This window comes from Homo sapiens, chromosome 3, assembly GCF_000001405.40.
Source record: "Homo sapiens chromosome 3, GRCh38.p14 Primary Assembly".
NCBI lineage: Eukaryota > Metazoa > Chordata > Mammalia > Primates > Hominidae > Homo > Homo sapiens.
Genome location: NC_000003.12, coordinates 126,637,527 through 126,658,868, shown reverse-complemented (window position 1 = coordinate 126,658,868; position 21,342 = coordinate 126,637,527). Strand labels below are relative to the sequence as shown.

Sequence of the window (21,342 nt, the reverse complement as noted above, 5' to 3'; positions counted from 1 at the left end):
ATGAAGCTTGCCTTATTGCTTAGGCGTGTATTTCATCCAGGTGGTTTTGGAGCTGGGCAGGCAGGAACAGGTTATGGAGCTAGTGGGTGAGTCCAGCCGGCTGCCCCTCTCCTCTATCTGGGTCTGGCTTTGTTGCTGGCTATTTGTGGTCTCATATTCATGGGGTGAGTAGCAGGGGTTTTTAAAGTAAGCACTTCAGGGTTTGCAAAGCTAGAGTTTCAATATCAAGAACCTACACACACACAAAATTAGGTCTCTGACCCAAAAGAGAAAACCAAATAGGACCACATCTCACCCAGGTGAAAACCCTTCAACAGCTGTCCAGTGCTCTGAGAATGAGCCCAAAGCCTTAGAATGCCCTGTAAAGCCTGGTGTGGCCTGGCCCCTGCCTCCGCTCCAGTTTCCATGCACATCACACTCCCCCACCATGCTTATGCTCCAGCCATGCAGGCATTCTCTCCCACTCACACAGTCAGATACCTGCTGCCTGCCTGCCTCTGGGGCTCGCAGCCCCCTTAAAGACCTGGGGCTCTTTCCCGGCCTCCATCTGCTGGCTCCAAGTCATCTTTCAGGCCCAGGTCCAGTGTTCTTCCTCAGAACAGTCTTCCCTCATCCAGGTCAGCTCTTCCAGTGCCCCTGCTCCCCTCTCCCGGGGGCTGGACCTGCTGTGTGCCATCAGTGTTGATGGGGCCTGCAGTGCACTTGGCCTTCCTCTCCAGGCTGTCCTCAGCACTCATATACCCTCAGGACTCAGCCCAGCATCTGGCCCAGCCTGGCCCCCCCATGCACGTCTTGACTGGATGAGCTCCAGGGCTGCTGCTCTGAGTAATTCTGGACAAGGTCATGGAACCTGGTGCTCCAGCCTGCTTGGCTTTAGAGAGTAAAACCAGCTTTGTTAAGCCTTGGAAATTCTGAAAATCACCTGCAAACCTCACCTATTTGGCAAGTGCTGATTCTAGTCCAACCTCTTCAATATACAGATGAGGAAACAGGCCCAGATGACAGGATAGGGGTGTGGCTTTGAAAAGGCAGAGCTGGGGATAGAACCAGATACCCTACATCCCAGCTTGGGCTCCTTCCTGACTCTCCACTTCCCAGGGGAACCGAGCTAGATGCCTCCTGGAGCTGGAAGAGAACTGTGGGGAGGGGAGGAGGGAGAATGGCCAAAGGCAAAGGCCACGCTGAGAAAGGCCCAAGCCCATAACTGGCTGGGGACACAGGAGATCAACAAGCTGACCTGAGCTGCACATACCACCTACTCAAGGTACATTAATACAGACGCAGCATGCCTGAGTTATTCCATACAATGACTTACAGTAGATAAATAAAGATCCCAAAGTGGACATCATGCTTATACTCCAAAACAGTAGCTATGTGACTTGAGCCATCACCACTTGAGCCTGGTGTCAAATACGGGCTGAGAAATGGGGTCCAAGAGCCCCAGTTCTGGTTTTGCTGGGGCTGATTCACCCTAGCTTATTACAATTCCCCCAAAGAAAACCCATTGAAAGATTAGGGAGAGTAATGAGAGCTTTCTTTGAGAACCCAATTCGAGACTCTGATTTCAAACTCCTGCAAAAGCTACTGCTGTCAGGAGTGGGTAGGTCCTTCACAATGTGAAGAAATTCCATGGTGCACCCACTGAGGAGCCCTACACAGGGTAACACAGGGAAGGGCTTTTGCTCTTTTTCTTTTCTTTCAGAACCATTTTGCACATTTTAAAGACACATTAAAATGGCAGTGGGGAAATCAATTGCTCTTCCACTTGACTTCCCAGGGGATAGGCATCCAGCCACCATCTCTGGAGCCCGCAAAGCCTGGCCTGCCCCTTGGGCTGGTGCACAGTGGTTCACTGCACCTCATGGTGATGCTTTAAGGAAGTCCTCACCAGGCAAGTCTAGAGGCTTGGGGAACTGAGGGCACTTGGTCACTAGCTGGTGGCAGAGTGGGAACCTGCACCCACTCCTAACTCTACACTGCATATGCGGCTCATACCACCTGGCCTCTCCATGTGTTCTGGACCCACCTGCTTCCTGATTCACACACGGGAGAACATTTGCGAGGGGAAGGAAGTGGTGGTGACCTATGCCCAGAATGAATTCTAATTTCTGAGTGTTAAAGGTGCCACCTGAGAACATCGGGAAACACTGAGCCAAGGGGAAAGTCCTGTCATCGAGTAGGAGATGACAAATGCAGCGTGCTCATTAAGATGCTGTGAGTGCAGCCAGAGGCAGCTCTGTGCATGTGGGGGCTGCAACTGTCACATGGCCTGGAGCTTGCCAGGCCCCAAGACTCTGCCCACATCATCTCAGCCCCCACTTCCTGGGGCCCTGATCGCATTTCAGACTTGTGCCCTGACAGGTGGCAACTGCAGGGGAGAAGGGACCCTGTGGATATTTCTGAATGTCACTGGACCCATCAATGTCTGTTTCCTTCAGGCTGCCCATGTCAATGACCCATCAATGTTGTGTGATGGGCCAGGCTGTGCCATGCAAGAGTGTCATGGTCTGTGCCCCTGATTACTCCCCCTCACGGCTCAAAGAGGAGGACCCAAGCTAATGTGAAAATCACAGGCACTGTGATTGGGTGCTAGATGAAACTTCACGCAGGGACCCGGCCAGCCCTGCGACCTCCCTGAGGGCGACGGCTGGGGACATGGGTCATGTCCACAGATTAGTCTCAGGGAAAAGGAGGATGCACCTGACTTCAAGGCCCGTAGCTTCCACACACTCCCCCCTCATCCTGGACATGTGTCCTCACCTGAACAATGGCCCCATGACTGGTTGTGCCTCATGGGACCCAGGAGATGGAGAGACGCAGCCACACCTCATAGGAGCAGGGCGGCCAGCCTCATTCTCTGCCAAATCCGCAGCGCCCAGCACAGTATCTGGCACATGACAGGCACTCCAGCATCGCTGAGTGCACAGGTTAACAAAAAGCATAAAGTACCTACTAGGCTCCTTCCCCTGCTCTGGTTATTGCATGGGTTCCGCCTAGAGGACTTAACTGAAATGTAAAGAATTGTTGAGAAGAAGGAAACTCCAGGTTTTTGTTTTTGGTTTTGTTTTTTTTTTTTGAGACGGAGTCTCGCTCTGTTGCCCAGGCTGGAGTGCAGTGGCGCCATCTCGGCTCACTGCAAGCTCCGCCTCCCAGGTTCACGCCATTCTCCTGCCTCAGCCTCCCAAGTAGCTGGGACTACAGGCACCCGCCACCATGACCGGCTAACTCAGTCACTGCAGGCAAGTTCAGCTCCGAGGTCTTCCACTCATCCACCGAAATGGACAGAGGATTCCTCTTCTCGCGGTTTCAGAGTCCCTTTGTTAGGGGCGGCTCTGGAATTCTATGTAGAAGGGAACTGACGGGTAGCAACCTAGGAAACTCATTAAAGCTGCATTGCAATAGCAAACGCAATATATTTATTTAGCTTGTGTGATCTAAACTTTTAAAAATATCAATCTTTCCAATTCACACTTCCCATAAAAATTGAAGAACGTATATTTTAAGGTGGTTTAAAGGGGCTGTTGGGGATTATTAGGAGTAAAAGGCATTGCACAGAGGCCATCTCAGAGCGCCATCGCCAAGATTGGGTGGTCTCCGGACGCAGGCACAACCTGGAGATAAAGAGGCTCGCGCTTGGTACCCGCCCCTTTGCGAAGGGCAGGTGACACCTAGGCTGCGGGCGGGCGGGGGACCCAATTTCGCATGCGCGGGGCGGTGTTGGGGGGCGGGGCGAGCGGCTGCCTCGCGGATTCGCGCGGGTGGTGAGAGTGGCCAGCGAGGGCAGCGTTCGCCGCCCCTCAGGCCCCGTCCCGGCGCCGCAGCCGCCTGCGTTTCGGTTTGTGAGCAGGCCCGGCCGGGCCAGGAGCGAGAGCGAGACTCTGGAGCGGTCGCCGCCGCAGTCGCCCGGGCCGGGAAAGGCGGGCGATGCCCCCAACCGCCGCTCGGGCCATGTCCGAGGGGCGCGCGTGTTGTCGCCGCCGGGGCGCCGTGCCCGCCTGTCGTCCCCCGGGCCCAGCCGCTCGTCCGAGGCCCGCGAGGAGCTGCGCCGCCACCTCGTGGGCCTCATCGAGCGCAGCCGGGTGGTGATCTTCAGCAAGAGCTACTGTCCCCATAGTACTCGGGTAGGCGCGGCCCTCGCCGGTTCCACCGCGCGCGACCGGGCCCGCCACGCGGACGCCACCCGGGGCAGGGCGGGTCCGGGCCGGGGCGCCCGCGGGTCCCGGGCTGCGGCGGTGAGGTCAGCCGTCCGTCCTCTCCTCTCCCCGGTCGTCCCCTGAGGTGGGCTTGTGATAGTTTATCAAAACAGAAACTCTCCTAATTGCGTGACCTCGACCCGGGTTAGGACCCTGTGCAGAGCCTCAGTTCCCCCGTTTGTGAAACGAAGGTACGGGAAGGTTGTTAGGACGACTGAGGTAATTTCAGCTTCATGCACACTGCCTTAACTTTTCGGGGCGGACTAGGAATCCGGCATTATTTCTAAGGACAAATGTATTCTGTGTTTAAGAATACTTCACTTAGAAACGAGCCTTTGGGTGATAACCTACGTGTAAGGTACAGACTTTCAACGTTTAGGAATTTACTTCATTTTACAGAAAGTTGAAAAATGATACGTGGAAGACAGTATGCAAAAGCATAAACTATTGGGTTGAGTTCATGAAATTATAGGCTGTGTTTTTCAAATATATTTGAAGTTTACATTGATGTGTATAGTTTCTTAAAACATATATTATGCATATATATTTTTAAGAATAATAAAGTGACACTAGTACTGTAGAAGCTTCCTTGGCTGTCTCCTCCCTCCCTCAGGGTTAACCACTATGCAAAATTTCCTTTTTTTTTTTTTACATTTTTACCAAATATATATATTATTCATCAATATTTGGTTCCTTTTGGCCTGTTTTGGGACTTGATATAAATAGAACCATACATACATAGGTATTCTTCTGCAGTTTTCTTCCTCAACAGTTATGTTTCAGAGATTCATGCATGTTAGTATCTGTAGCTGGGGTTCATTAATTTTCGTTGCTGACTATTCCCTGGGATGAATCGTACCGGAGTTTATCATTCTGCTGTTTTTGGTATTTTGGTCTTAAAAAACAGTACAGCTATATGTTTATTCTTGCACGTAACTCCCAGCGCATTTATAAAAGACTTAACTCTAGAATAGGTATCTTGAAGCTGAGTTGCTGGGTCATAAAGGATGCATGATTTCTACCTTAGCAAGGTAATGCCCAACTGAGTTTCCAAGTAGTGATACCAATTTACTCTGCTCCTAGTTTGGAACAATTCATCTTGCTCTACATCCTTGCTAACAGTTGATATTTTTAATTTTTGCCATTCTGGCAGTTTTGAAATGGCATTCCATTATGGTTTGATTTTGCATTTCCCAAATGAAGTCCAGTGTGTTCATGCATCATTTGAGCTTCCTCTTCTGTGAAATTATATAGCGTGTTTTTCATTTTTTTCAGGCCTTTTGCCTATTTTCCTATGCAGTGGTTTTTAGTTGTTTGTACTGACTTATTCTTTATATATTTAGGATGCTTATTCTTTGGTTATGTATACAGTAAGTGCTCACTCAACATTGTTGATAGGTTCTTGGAAACCAACCTTAAGCCAAATGGCATGTAACAAAACCAGTTTTATTGTAGGCTAATCGATAGAAATAAGAGTTAAGTTCCTATGGCATATTTCTGACCACAAAAAGAAATCACCAGACTTTTAAATAAAGACCCAAAACATGTCTAATATTAAACATTGAAATAAACGTGAGCTATACATACATTTAAGAGAGATTAGTGAGAACAAGGAAGAAAATTATTTACCCAATTTCTGGTGAGTCAGGAGAGGTTGGGTTCTAATGGTGGTGGGTGAAATAAAAAAATGTTTGCAAAGCAGAATTTTAAGGAGCACCTCGTGCCACTGGGCAGTTCAAAAACAAAATCAGAGTCCCTTTGTTAGGGGCGGAGGGTGCACTGCATTCGTTATTGTTTGCATCTATATGATTATTGTCTACTTGATGAAGTTTTATTTGGCAATAATTTATATTTGCTTATTCATTCCTTTTCCAACCCACTTACTCCATTTCAGGGTTGCAAGTGGCCAGAGCCTATCTTGACAGCTCAGGGTGTTAGGCGGGATCCAAACCTGGCTGGGACACCATCCCATTGCAGGTGCACTTGCACACACACCCACACTCTCTGTGACTGGGAAAATGTAGATACACCAATTAGCCTAACATGGACATCTTTGGGATGTGGGAGGAAACCGGAGTACCTGGAGAAAACATGAAGAGAAGGTGCAAACTCCACTTGACAGTGGCTCTGGCTGGAAATAGTTTTTTAAATCACTGTTGTAATGAAATAATGTTATTTGAGGACCTGCTGCTGTAGAAAATCGGTCAGATTTAGCTTCCTTTTTCACTCTTTTTATGGGATTGATATGGTTTGGATCTGTGTCCCCACCCAAATACTGAAATGTAATCCCTAATGCTGGAGGTGAGGCCTGGTGGGAGATGAATGGATCATGGGGGTGGATTTCTCATGAATGGTTTAGTATCATGCCATTGGTACTGTCCTCATGATAGTGAATTCTCATGAGATCTGGTCATTTAAAAGTGTGTAGCATCTCCCCACCCCACTGTCTTGCTCCTGCCCTGGCCATGTGAAGTGCTGGCTCCCCCTTTGCCTTTTGCCATCATTGTAAGTTTCCTGAGGCCTCCCAGAAGCCAGGGAGATGCCAGTATCATGCTTCCTGTAGAGTCTACAGAACCGTGAGCCAATTAAACCTCTTTTCTTTATATATTACCCAGTCTCATATTTCTTTATAGCAATGGGAGAACAGACTAATACAAGGATCTATTCATTAACTGAAGTTTGTAAATTTAATGTATTTGCTTCTATCGTTCTTTTCCTTTTATGGCTTGCTTTTGGTGTCTTTTTTAAGAAATCTGTTTCTATTCAGAGATCATAAAGATATTCTCCTGTTTTAGCTCCTGAAAATTGAATAGTATGCTTTTCATACCTACATTCTTGACGTCTACTTGGGATTGATATTAGTAATAGGAGTGGGGATTCAGTTTGTTTTCTTCTTTGTGACTTCTCAGGTGTTCCTGTTTCCTTTTTTGGAGACCCCATCCTTTCCACACTAGTTCGTATGCTCACTCATCATTGATCAGGTTCTCATGTATGTGTTGGACTATTTCTGGGGTCTGTTTTCTATCTATATTTCTTAAGAGTTGTCCTTTGTAGTTTGCATAAACACCAAGAGATCAGAACTGTCTGTCTACTGCTGTATTACTGGGGCCTAGACAATAGTGTCAGGCACATAATGTAGGGTGAATTATCTTAAATAATGTTAGTCAAATCTTTCCTGATACAGAAAAATCTTAGGACAAATGATCCTCTATTCTGTATGTGTTAACATTTTCAGTAATGTGGCCACCATTTTGAGTCCCATGACATATTTGGACAACTCTGATTATTGGAATTTTTTTAAGTGAAGCAAAATCTGCCTCTCTGAAATATTTATTCATTCTTGGAGGTGAGCATTGCTCCAGTGGGCAGAATTAAGAACCTTGCTTCTGCTTGGAAGGCAGATCTTCCCGTACTTTCGCCAAGTGTTTTTCTTGCTTGACTGAGTAGCCTGCTTTCTTACATGTCCGTCTTTACATGTGGCCGCTCACTAACTTGGTTGTACAGTTTTCTTTTTGCCCATGAACCTCTTAAATGTATCCCCCAAAATTAGACACCATATTCCACATATGTTCTTATCCTTGCAGAGTCAAGGAGAGAGATTTGTTTCTTCATTGGGCTGCTAATGGCATTCAATAAGTGTTATTGGGTGCTTAGTGTTGCAGAGACACAGAAATGAATAAGCCTTGGTCTTGCCTCCCATACGCTCATAGTCTAATTGAGCTGTAATCAACCAGCTTGTTTGTGTAGAAAGAAGTGCGTAAGAAAAACAAGAGTTGTGGGAATAAGAGATAAAACAGTGGCTTCTGTGGAGGATCAGAACAGTCTAAGAAAATGCCATGTAAGCTGGTCCTTGAGAGTCTGTAGGTAAGAAAGAGCATCTAGTTAAGAAACTAGTATCAGCAAAGATAGATAACGATAAAAGGAAAATAGTATGGCTGAGCACAAAGTATATGCAAGGGAATCAGGAAGATTCATTGGAAAATGGCTGGAAGTTTAGTTTCAAAGGTGATTTAGGGAGGTCTTTTTTTTTTTTCTGAGATGGGGTCTTGCTCTGTTGCCCAGGCTGGAGTGCAGTGGCTTGATCTTGGCTCACTGCAACTTCTGCCTCCCAGTCTCAAGTGATCCTCCCACGTAAGCCTTCCAAATAGGTGGGACTACAGGTGCATGCCACCACACCTCAGTAATTTTTGCATTTTTTGTACAGACAGTGTTTCACCATGTTGCCCAGGCTGGTCTCGAGCACCTGCACTCAAGTGATCCACCGCCTGGCCTCCCAAAGAGCTGGGATTACAGGTGTGAGCCACCGTGCCTGGCCAAGGAGGTCTTAAAATGCTTGCTAATAAGTGTGGACTTAATGATGTGGCAAAGAAAAGTCATCTCACGCTTGTGAGCAGCGTCTGACCTGTGATTTGAAATCTAGCCATCATATGAAACTAGGCTCAGTGTAGAGGCAGCTAGACTAGTTGGAAAGTCAATGTTAAAGGACAGATGTAAGATAATAACGCAAACTATACAGTGAATAAAATGCCCTGACTTTTAGAAGTACTTTCCCCACATTAATTTTAAGCCATGTTTCCCCAGTCCTGAATTCATACATTTGTGAATTACAAATTTATATTTCCATTGGTTTGCTTTTGCTTTTTTAAAAATATTGTGATAAAATTCACATAACATAAAACTTACCATTTTTAACTATTTTTTAGTGTAGAGTTCAGTGGCACTACGTACATGTACATTGTTGTGCAACCATCAGCAGCATCCATCCACAGAACTTTTTCATCTTCCCAAACTGAAATTCTATACCCATTAAACACTTACTCCCTTTTCCTCCTTCTCCCAGCCCCTCATGACCACCGTCTGACTTTCTGTCTCTATGAATATGACTGCTTTAGGTACCTCATATGAGTTGAGTCATACAGTATTTGTCTTTTTGTGTCCAGTTTATTTCACTTAGAGTAATGTCCTAAACATTCAACCATGTTGTAGCATGTGTGAGAATTTCCTTTCTTTTAAAGACTGAATCATATTCCACTGTATGTATATAACACATTTTGTTTATCCATTTATCTGTCAATGGTCACTTGCATTGCTTCCACCTTTTGGCTATTATGAATAATGTTTCTATGAACATGGGTGTACAAATATTTATTTGAGTCTCTGCTTTCAGTTCCTTTTGGTACATACCTAGAAATGGAGTTGCTTGATTATGTGATATTTCTATTTGTAATTTTTTGAGGAACTGTCATTCTGTTTTCCATAGTGGCAACACTATTTTACATTCCCACTAAAGTGCACAAGGGTCTCAGTTTCTCTGCATCCTCACCAACATTTGTTATTTTCTTTGTTTTTAAAAATAATGCTTATCCTAATGGATGTGAAGTATTATTGTGGTTTTGATTCACGTTTCACTAAAGATTAGTGATGATGAACAACTTTTCACGTGCTTATTATTGGCCATTTATATCTCTTATTTGAAGAAATCTATATTCAAGTGCTTTCCCATTTTTAAGTTGGGGTTTTAACTTTTTTGTTCTTGAGTTTTAGGAGTTCTCTATATAATCCAGATATTAATCCCTTATCATATATGTGATTTGCAAATACCCTATTCAGTTCCTTGGGTCACCTCTCTACTCAGTTGATAATGTCCTCTTTTCTTTTTAAGAGATGGCATCTTGCTATGTTGCCCAGGCTGGAGTGCCGTGGCTATTCACAGGTGTGATCAAAATGCACTACAGCCCCAAACTCCTGGACTCCATGATCCTCCTGCCTCAGCCTCCTGAGTAGATAACTGTCCTTTGATGAACAAGAGTTTCAAATTTTTGTGAGGTGCTATTTGTCTGTTGTTTCTTTTGTTGCTTGTGCCTTTGAGATCATATCCATAAAATCATTGTCAAAGCCAGTGTCGTGACACTTTTGCCGTATATTTTCTTCTAAGAGTTTTGTAGTTTTAGCTCTGACATTTGGGTCTTTGACCCATTTCGAGTTAATTTCCATACATGGCGTTAGGTAAGGGTCCAGTTTCATTCTTTTGTTAGTGGACAGCCAGTTTTCTCAGCATCATTTGTTGAAAAGACTCTCCTTTCCCCATTGAATGGTCTTGGCACCCTTGTAAAAAATCATTTCCCTGTATATGTGAGGCTTTATTTCTGTCCTTTCTGGTCTCTTCCTTGGTCCATAAGCCTGTCTTTATGCCAGTACGGCACTGTTTTGATTACTGTATCTTTGTAGTAAGTTTTGTTGTTCTTCTTTACAAGATTGTTCTGGTTATTCAGGGTCCTTTGAAATTCCATATGAATTTTAGGATGGATTTTTCTATTTCTGCAAAAAAAGATCATTGGGATTTTGAAAAGGATTGCATTAAATCTGTAGAGTGCTTTGGGTACTACTGACATATTTGCAAGTATAAAATCTTCCAATCCATGAACATGGGATATTGTTATTTGTTGCTATCTTATTTAATTCCTTTCAGCAACATTTGTGGTTTTCAGCATCCAAGTCTTTTGCTTTCTTGGTTAAGTTTCTTCCTAAGTATTTAGTTCTTCTTGTTGCTATTATAAATGAAATTTTTTTTCTCAATTTCTATTTTGGATTGTTCGTTATTGGTATACAGAAAATCAACTGATTTTTGTGTGTTGATTTTGTACAATGCAACTTTGCTGAATTTCTTTATTTCAACAGTTTTGGTATGTGTGTGTCTGTGAAATCTTTAGGTTTTCTACGCATGAGATCATGTTGTCTGTGAACAGAGATAATTTAACTTATTTTCCAGTTAGGATGCCTTTTATTTCCTTTTCTTGTGGTATTGCTCTGGCTAGGACTAATAGTACTTTTTTGGAGGGGGACAGGGTCTTCTTGCTGTGTCACCCAGGCTGTTGTGAAGTGGTGTGATCATGGCTCACTGCAGCTTCAAACTTCTGGGCTTCAGCGATCCTCCCACCTCAGCCTCCTGAGTACCTGGGACTACAAGGCATGTGCCACCATGCCTGGCTAATTTGTTTTTTTATTTTTTGTAGAGATGGGGTCTTACTGAGTGGAAGGAGAGGAGTAGCATTGTGGGTGTGTTGCCTGTGAGATGCCTGTGGGACACGCAGGTGGAAAATAGATACTGCCTATTTGAGTTCAGAAAAGAGATTTGGGCCAAAGTTGTAGATTTGAAAGTCATAAGAGACAGTAAAAAGAAGGCAAGGGATGGCCTGAGATTATTCTGGGAAGATGTGTAGAGGAAAGGAAAAAATCAAAAACAAAAACAAAAACCACACGTTGGCTAGAACTCCTGTTCCTCCAGAACATTTATTGTTGACATCTCTCATTACTATGTTCATATTTCATAGCTGTTGAATCTTTTCTGAGAGTGAAACTTAGCTAAATTTTTTTTACAGGTGAAAGAACTCTTTTCTTCTTTGGGAGTCGAATGTAATGTCTTGGAACTTGATCAAGTTGGTAAGTAGACCAGTTACAACATAGTGTTGTTTATAATAAATGCCAGCGAGATTGACTTCTTTCCATTTACTTTGTTCAATTCAGATTACTCTTGTCTTCGGGTTAAATGAGGCATTTTTGTCTACATTCAGCCATGCAGAAAATGAACCCTAATGTGGCAGATAAATTGGTGTAGTTTTTTTATTTATACATTTTCCATATTTGAGGGAAGGGAGTGGGAGGAAGATATATAAGCTGCTCCCTTTGAAGTACTTAAGGCATTTCAGATGTATCTGCCAGCTCTCTAGCAGAACAGATAAAGCTGTAACAAATGAAAAGGATCCGCTCCCATTTCCTGGCTGTGTCATCCACCAGGGAGAGTGCATTAAGTTTTTAGCTTTATACTTTTGAATTCTTGGCATTCATACATCTAATATTAGTTCAGCACTTTACACATAAGGAGTTTTTCAGGGGTGAGGGCATGGTGATGAACAGAACAAGTTTGATTTCTGCCTTCATAGAACCTCACTGACTCACTTTAAAGTTGCCTTAATGAATGAAATGCTCTTGAATCTTGGAGACTTTTCTAAAGGGTTTACCAATAAGGTAGTCTTAAGTAGTGATGGACCAGTTTTATTTTTAGGGATGGAAGATAAATATTGGACTATGACCATAAACATTTTTCAAATGTAATTGTAAGAAGTATTTTCTGGGTTATTGTTACAGCGATTTTATCTTGATTCTTGCTCTTTAAAGAGGGCTCTTATCTGTCTTGGCATAGTCACTGAATAATATGTCAAAATCTAATTTTGAAGGGTTTATCTTTGAAGGAATCAGTAGATCTTTATTTTTTAAGATTTTCTTTGAAAGCAAGGATGTTTTCCCCTCTTGAGTTATCATTTCATAAAGTTATATAACACACTGACCTGTTATGAGTATGTACATGTGAACATTTGAGTGTTGTAACACTTTGTTTAACTCACAAAGATTTGAAACTCTTTTCAGTGTTTTTATATATAGTTTTTTTCTTCTTTAGATGATGGGGCCAGGGTTCAAGAAGTGCTGTCAGAAATCACTAATCAGAAAACTGTGCCCAATATTTTCGTGAATAAAGTGCATGTAGGTGGATGTGACCAAACTTTCCAGGTAATAATACTATTATATGTTCTTCAATGCTGTTTGTTCATATTTTAAAAAAGTATTTAAAAGAGGAGAAAATGGTTTTTAGGAGTCCACTCATCTTTTGGAAGTTATAAAATGAAGCATATAGGATAATTATCAGATAATACTGATTGCTTTAAGGGAAATTAGCTTTTCTGCCAGCCTGAACTTCAGAAGCTAGGATTTTTGTGTGAGGGCACCAGGACAAACCAGTGGGCCACCCTGGAGACATCCCAGGTCTTTTCCTCCTTGTAGGGAGAGATAACATTAATGTTTGCCCAGTAGAAAGAGGTCAACACTGCCATTCTTGTCTAGGACAATTAGAATTCCTGTTAAGACTGCTAACCTTGGGGTGGTTGCCAAAGGCCTATGGCTTTTGATTTTTTGATTCCTAGAGTGCTAAAAATGAGCAGGAGTTGTTAGGTAAGCAGTGATAGATAAAAATTGTTTATTAAATAAGATCCTTATTTTATAATTAGTTATTTACTTTTATTAAAATTCTACTCTGTCATATCCTTTATATATGTATACAATATGAGTAATCAGTGGTTGATTAAATAGTTGTATTTGAGACTTTAATTAAGAATTATATTTTTGTGGAGAAAAAAGATTGTCTATGTTGTGTGTTAATCTATGATCAGCATCCTTATGCAGTAACAATCTGCTTTATTAGTCCTAGAATTTATAACCTAGTTCACATAGTGGTAAGTCCTGTAAACACCTTCTGAAGTGCTTGTCTTGCCAATCCTAACTTGGAAAATGATGTCCAAGAATAAATCTGTAGATGCAGAGAGAGCAATTCTATTATTTCAAGACAGAAAGATATTTCTTGGATGGCAGATTCTGAGGAGGTGGATTTCCCTAAGGGCACCTAAAAGTAAGGAGGCCATAGGGACCCTTTTTAGAATGTCCCTAAAACCTTCTTGGGCACCCATTCTTCATGGGGACACATGGCATTTGGTGAGTCCACGTAGTTATGAAGCATCTGTTGTGTGTTACAGGAAGGGCTAGTTTGATCATGGTATTTGTCTAAAGCCAAGGTAATGGGAGTGAGCAACTGACTTGGCATAAAGAAAACTGTTACTAAATCACACATCGAACCTCTAACATCATCTAAGCTACTTCTGATCACAAGGAGGGCCAAATGAGCAAGAGGATATGGCCCAGGGCCAGCATCATGACTGTTGCTGAAAGAAAATGGGAGATGTTGGTGTTGTAAAGGAAGCTCACCTGTGTAACTACAAAAGTTAGATCGATTTATGAGAAGCCATGACAAAATTTGCTGATAATGCATAAGAATTGTTTTCAAAATGAAGACTAGCACAAGTGAGCTAATGAAAAATGATACTTGGCTATTCCACTGCACTTGACTATAATATTTTGATAATTAGACCAAGGAAAATGACCTCATCTTACATAGGTACAGAGCCACAACCTTCTAGGTTATTTGACACATTCCTAGCTGTCAGGTGTAAGAAGGGACAAAAACATATGTACTTTGGTATAAGTTCTAACTAGTTGGACCCTGTTTTTAAATAGCATCCAGATAAATTTACAACTCCAACTTAGATGAATTATAGATTTTTCCTAAGATTTTTATAAAAGAAATCCATACCAGTTGAACATAGGGTGTACATAAATAGCTGTAAAACTTTAAATTCTGCAGTGTTCTTTCTCCTGTAATTAAACCATAGGCATATCAGAGTGGTTTGTTACAGAAGCTCCTTCAGGAAGATTTGGCATATGATTATGATCTCATCATCATCGGTGGTGGTTCTGGAGGCCTTTCATGTGCGAAGGTATGAATATAGAAATGAAACTCGTAGATAATTTTCCTGATGACTGCCATAGCTATTTCTTCTGCTACTTAAAAAAAAACAAACTAATGTTACAGTTTAAGCTTTTGTTGTAATAGCTGGTATAATTCAGGTAAAAGATTGTGTGTCACACAAAAACAGTCTTTTACGGAAGACAAAGATTGAGGGAGTGTCAGGAAAGTGACAAGATCTTTATACGTAATTTTTGTTGTTGTTCGTTTGTAGGAAGCTGCCATTTTGGGAAAGAAAGTTATGGTGCTAGACTTTGTTGTCCCGTCACCTCAGGGCACATCCTGGGGTAAGTTGTTTTTCTCTGTTGTTCCTCTCTGCTCTTTACATATGTTGTTTGCTTTATGTAATCTCATTTAATCCTCACAACAATCTCAAGAGGTATAACTCGCCTGTTTCTTGGATAAGAAAACAAGCGAGTCTAGGCCTGGCCCAGAGGCTCATGCCTGAAATCCCAGCACTTTGAGAGGCCCAGAAGTTCCAGACTAGCCCGGAAATATAGTGAGACCTTGTCTCTATTCAAAAAAATAAAAAAATTTTAAAAAAATTAAAAAAAAGAAACTGAGTCTTAGTGAGGATATAGTTAACAAGCAGTGATGTTGGAAAGATAATATAAACATTAATAAGGAAGATTTTGCAAAAAGAAAAAAAAATTCCATGACCACAGTATTTCAGCACTTCTGCCGTAGTATTTTTTTGAGTGTATAGTTGAGGTCACAGTGTATGTACTGTGTCGTGGTCACGTAAGTTTGCCAGAAACACTTTTCTTTGTTTCTGTGTCGGTTTCATAATTGACTATATTAGCTGCACAATAGCTGATGGAGTGAGTGTATGTAATAATTACAGTTTAGCTTAACAAGGAGACCAATGACCAGCCCTGTGACTCTGCTGTCTACTGTAGACTAGAGTGCTCACCTTTCCATGTTGTTTTTCCACAGTGAAAAGAGCACATAGATTTTGTGCTGGATGTTTTCCATTTATTCTTTAAATGCATTCCCCCTCTGCCTCTGCCCTGCTGTACGCTCCATAAGACTGATCTGTTGGCAGCCTTGCCCTCTGGCTTCTGGGGCAGCTTGGCCACTTTGGGGTAAGGGGAAGAGGGCAGAGGAAGAGTGGAGTTGGGATTTTATTCCCCTGGCTCCTTCCCTGCTGGGTCCCTGCATCTTCCTGTGGAAGGCCACCCCCTCCATTGGATGGCTGGCTCCCTCTGGGTGGTGGCACTCAGTCTCCTTGCCCCTTCACATGGGGCTGCCAATGGTACACTGCTGTCACTAGTTTAGGGAACTATTCTATCCCTTTTTGCTCTTCCTGCTTACACCTTTGTGATAATTTCTCTGTTAATCCTTCAGTTACCCAACTCAAGTGTGTCTTCTCTTTTCTGCTAGAAAAAATTTTCTGGCAGATTTTTTTCACATAAAGTGTAAAAATCAATTTTTAAAATTCAAACTTACTCAGAAAGTTATAGCCTAGAATTTTATGTACAAAAGCTAATCTACTTCGATTTTTCTCATAATGTTCTTGTGGTGTGTGAACACTTGTTTTCTGTCCCTCACCCTGGCCTCTTTCCTCTTTTTCTCCTCCCTTTCTCCCTTTCTTGTCCAGAAATAATCCTACTTATCTGGGATACCAGAACACCTGCAGTCAGAGAGAATCTGAGACCTGCCCTGCAAAGGGGCACTCCGTTTTGCGTAATCCATTTTGTGTTGTTCAGGACTCAGAGTAAATGTGACCAGGCAGCTTGCAGTTGACAACGTGGCTCCGAGGAGTCAGAGTTATGGAGAGTACAGGGCTGGGAGCTGAGATTCTCACCCTTGGTGTAGTACATATCTAATTAATCTTAGATCATTCTGATCTCTGTGGATCAGACTGAAGTGAAAGTTTTGGATGCTGTGCCCAGAAAACTTCTCACATGCACATCTGTATTTTTACTCATCTTTGGGTCTCTTCTGTGAACCCGTAGTTGGAAAATTTGGGTTAATCCCTTGTGTCTTATTTTGGGGTGGGGTGTCATCCCCCCCACCATTGAGCTTGTCATTTCCACATGTTTTAATATAATATGATTGCAGATGTGTGAAACTAGACACACAAAGAAGCATTAAAACTTATTTTCTTCCTCAGGTCTTGGTGGCACTTGTGTAAATGTAGGTTGTATTCCTAAGAAATTGATGCATCAGGCTGCCCTTTTGGGGCAGGCATTATGTGACTCAAGGAAATTTGGCTGGGAATATAATCAACAAGGTGAGTAATGGTTCATAAAGTATAGATTGAGAGAAAAGAAAAAATGAGTTTTTTAGATAAAGACTTGGTATTCATATTTTTATAGTTGAGTTCGTAATTCATTTAATGAACATTCATTAGGAAGCTACTGTGTCAGCCAGGCACAGAGGATGCAAAAGGGCCCCCCGCTCTTGTGGGCCTCACCACCTAGAGAGGGAATTGTCTCAGCTGCAGCAATTCCACACCCTTAGCAGAATGTAAAAGATTAAGTAATCGCTATTTTCAGACTTCTTTCAAGTATAAGAAAAATAGAATAGCAAAGGTTATTGTTTGAATTATATCTGTTATTATAACATTTTTTCTCAGTGGTTATATATATCTTTGGTTAATGAAAAGTGGAAAAGAAATTCATCTAGTAAACATGTATTGGCTAAGCTCTGGGGATACAGATGTGAGGAAGACAGAGCTACCTGTAAGCAGCATGTAGTCCGTGGGAGAGAGACAAGGAGATCCATTCAGTGCACTCAAATTAGCCATGCTGCTTTGAGTATTGGCTCCATGTAGCCTTGAGGGTGGTGGGGGAGTGTCAGGGAAAGCTCTTCAGACAAGGTGACCCTTGAGCTGCATCTTGAAGGTCACAGAGGAGTAGGACCTTTAAGACTGGAAGCAGCTTGATGAACACTATGGAGATGTGAGGAAACATGGTGTTTTGGGGGGTTAATAGTGGCTGGAGTGAAGAGTAGATGAAGGGAGTTGAAGCAGGAGAGGAGCATGAGCCACGGCTGTGATTCTGAGTCCTACTGTCAAGCTAAGTAGCAAGCAGAAAAAAACTCCCTAAAGAAAATGATGCTTATTTGGGAAGTGGGCACTGCAGCTGGAATATGTGTGCCATAGTAAACTATTGTTTCCTACGCAAAAATGAGGAGGAGGATATGATTGTTTCGAAATGATTATCCTTGGCTACAAGGATCAATAACTAGGGTGACTCAAGTCTGAGGCTGGACAGGCAGTTGCTGGGCAGATGTCCTGGAAGATGTACTTTTATGTTAGGTTGTGATGGCCTTTGGGCAAGTTTGTGGTTTTTGTAGTCTTTGTGATGATTTTGTTATCAGGCATAGAAACCAGGAAACCCTTTCTTCATGGCCTTCCCCACCTCTGTTTGTCGGAGAGTTTTTTTTTTTTTTTTACACAAGTTACTCCATTTTGATTCTGACAACTTTCACACCTTTTATGGCACTGAGGAACTTAGAAAAGAGAGGAAAGGATAGGGAAGTGGGGGCAAGAAATGACAGAGGGTTGAGCAAAGACTGAAGTCTGGTTGAAGGGTAGTTGAAGGCATAAAATTGACCAGATATGGTGGCCAGTTGGATGTAGACACTTGGCTGTGTATCAGAATGTCTTGTGGACTTTAAGAAAAATTACAAACCACTTGTCTCTTTGTGCAGAGATTTTGATCTGGTAGATGTGGGCAGTGTACGTGCACATTTAAAGCATCATAGATGATCCTGGTTCTGACCGTAGCCAGGTGATTATGACAGGGCATCCAGGTCATGGTAGGATATGGATTGAGGGAGAGGAAAGAATACAGGAAGAGAGACTGGGGGGGAAATGGAATACTGTTCACTGAGATAGAAAACACAAGCAGCGGCCGGGCGCGGTGGCTCACGCCTGTAATCCCAGCACTTTGGGAGGCCGAGGCGGGCGGATCACGAGGTCAGGAGATCGAGACCATCCTGGCTAACACGGTGAAACCCCGTCTCTACTAAAAAAAATACAAAAAATTAGCCGGGCGTAGTGGCGGGCGCCTGTAGTCCCAGCTACTCGGGAGGCTGAGGCAGGAGAATGGCGTGAACCCGGGAGGCGGAGCTTGCAGTGAGCCGAGATCGCGCCACTGCACTCCAGCCTGGGCGACAGAGCGAGACTCCGTCTCAAAAAAAAAAAAAAAAAAAAAAAAAAAAGAAAACACAAGCAGCTTTGGTTTATTGGCAGGGTGGGGTTGAGTTCAGGATAATGGGTTGATGCTGGACACATTTCTCCAGTCAACTCAATGGAGAGCCTTAGGTCAAGCTAGGATCAGCTGGTTGTAGATAAAATGAGGCCTCCTGACTTGGCAGTGTAATTTTGGGGTAGTTTTATTTGCTTTCAAGAATCCTTCTTCTGGTTGGGCGTAGTGACTCACACCTATAATCCCAGCACTTTGGGAGGCTGAGGTAGAAGGATTGTTCAAGCCCAGGAGATTGAGACCAGCCTGGGCAACATAGTGAGACTCTGTCTCTACAAAAAATAGAAAAATTACTCTACAAAAAATAGAAAAATTAGGCAGGCATGGTGGCATGCACCTGTAGTCCTAGCTACTCGGGAGGCTGAGGTAAGAGGATAGCTTGAGTCCAAGGAGGTCAAGGCTGCAGTGAGCTCTGATTGCGCCACTGCACTCCAGCCTGTGCAACAGAATGAGATCTTGTCTCGGAAAAAGAAAAAAATCTTTCTTTTCCCTAAACCCTTCATCTTACTTGGACACTGTACTTCAGGTGCCTTGGGAACATCCTGGTAGAGTTTGCTGTATGAGGAAGGTTTGTTCCTGAAAGAGAGCTGGGCGAGAGCTGGGTGTGAGAGGCACAGCACATGGGGGACTGGGGAGAATGAAAAGCATAGAAAACAGAGACAGAACACTGAGATATTTTAATACCTATAGTAACTGGGTGAGGAAAAGGAGGAAAACCAAGAGAGTTGAATCACAGAAGCCAGGAGGAGTTTGGCTTTTTTAAGGGCATGATTGGGGCCTTAGGGAATCTAAAAAGAGCACTAACTGAATCAAATGCTGCAGAAAGGCTAAATGGAATAGGATTTGAATTATGCACATTTTGACTTGGCAGGTACTTATGGAATCTCTTTTTAAAATAAATATCTACACTGTTTCAAAACTAATTGAGTCCAAGAGGGGAGAAGCCCCTAAAACCTCAGTGGTAGGGAAGAGGCTGTAAAGGGTGAACCACAGCACTCACTCTGTGTTGGAGACACAGCAGGCAGAGGTGGCTTGTGTGGATGATATCAGACCTGTGTGGTCTGTGCCAGCTGGGGACCTTTCTGTGTGTTACTTCTGTCTGTTCTCCATTGTCTTACATTCTCAGAGATAGCAGGATGTCTGCACACATTGCTTTGCTGCACTCCCTGCCCCCATGGGGTCAAATGACGTTAATTCTGTTCTAAGTGCTGAATATTTCTAAATACTTTCTAATTTCCTTGAATGGGTAAAATCTTATAATTAGCTTCCTCAAAGTTCCCCCTATACAAAATACTTTCTTTTTTCTTTTTTTTGAGACAGAGGAGTTTCACTATGTTGCCCAAGCTGGAGTGCAGTGGTGCGGTCTCAGCTCACTGCGTTCCTCCATCTCCCGTGTTCAAGCGATTCTCCTGCCTCAGCCTCCCGAGTAGCTTGGATTATAGGTGCACACCACCACGCCTGGCTGATGTTTATATTTTTAGTGGAGACGGGGTTTCACCATGTTGGCCAGCCTGGTCTTGAACTTCCAACCTCAGGTGATCCACCCACCTTGGCCTCCCAAAGTGCTGGGATTGCAGACATGAGCCACCGTGCCCGGCTAAAATGCTTTCTAAGTCTTTGGGGTGCTGACTAAGAAATACTTAGCTAGCCAACACATGGTGTATTTAGGTATAGACTCAATAAAGGGCCAAGAGAAGTCATCAGAATCTGAGCAGCAAAAGAGAGGAAGTCAAAGCATGCCAAAATCATGTTCTGGGAGAATGTTCTAGATACTTGCATTCTTGATATTGATAAAGACATATAGGCTAGGCTGGACGTGGTGGCTCACGCCTGTAATCCCAGTCCTTTGGGAGACCGAGGCGGGCGGATCACGAGGTCAGGAGATCAAGACCATTCTGGCTAACACAATGAAACCCTGTCTCTACTAAAAATACAAAAAATTAGCCAGGCATGGTGGCATGCGCCTGTAGTCCCAGCTACTCGGGAGGTTGAGGCAAGAGAATCGCTTGAACCCAGGAGGCGGAGGTTGCAGTGAGCCGAGATCATGCCACTGCTCTCCAGCCTGGGCGACAGTGAGACTCCATCTCAAAAAAAAAAAAAAAAAAAAAAAAAAAAAAAGAGAGAGAAATATAGGTTAAAATAAGTTTATAATGTATAGATAATTTCCAGATTAGAAACTGAATGAGCTTTCAAGTGAAAGTTTAAAAAGAAAGGGGAAAATATACAAAGAGAAGGTAGTAAAGAAAAAATAGAAAGGGAAGCAACATGAAACTACAAGTTAAAACAAACAAAAATAGCAACAGAAAATAAGATACCTTACATAAGAGTAGTCATATTACTTACTAGGATAAAGCTGAATGAGTCAGATTTTTGGGTTAGTAGATGGCAAAATTCTTCCATATGCTATGTTTAAGACAAATACCTAAAACCAAAAGAAATAATTGTTGAAAATATGGAAATTTTACATTTTAAGTAGGAAATTAAGAATTTCCTATTTAAAATTTTAGATGAGAAATTTTTAAAC

At 42.8% G+C, this 21,342-nt stretch overlaps 1 protein-coding gene across 2 annotated transcripts in view; it reads left to right on the top strand.

The window, feature by feature from the left end:
- The first annotated feature begins 3,744 nt into the window (after positions 1 to 3,744).
- TXNRD3 (thioredoxin reductase 3) overlaps positions 3,745 to 21,342 on the top strand; it is a 48,075-nt gene continuing 30,477 nt past the window's right edge. For both annotated transcript variants that reach the window (NM_001173513.3, NM_052883.3), the window contains exons 1-6: positions 3,745 to 4,121; positions 11,573 to 11,633; positions 12,649 to 12,758; positions 14,468 to 14,572; positions 14,816 to 14,888; positions 16,718 to 16,837. In NM_001173513.3, coding sequence (NP_001166984.1) covers positions 3,879 to 4,121; positions 11,573 to 11,633; positions 12,649 to 12,758; positions 14,468 to 14,572; positions 14,816 to 14,888; positions 16,718 to 16,837 — 712 coding nt within the window. In that variant the 5' untranslated portion in view covers positions 3,745 to 3,878. The remainder of the gene's footprint in view (positions 4,122 to 11,572; positions 11,634 to 12,648; positions 12,759 to 14,467; positions 14,573 to 14,815; positions 14,889 to 16,717; positions 16,838 to 21,342) is intronic.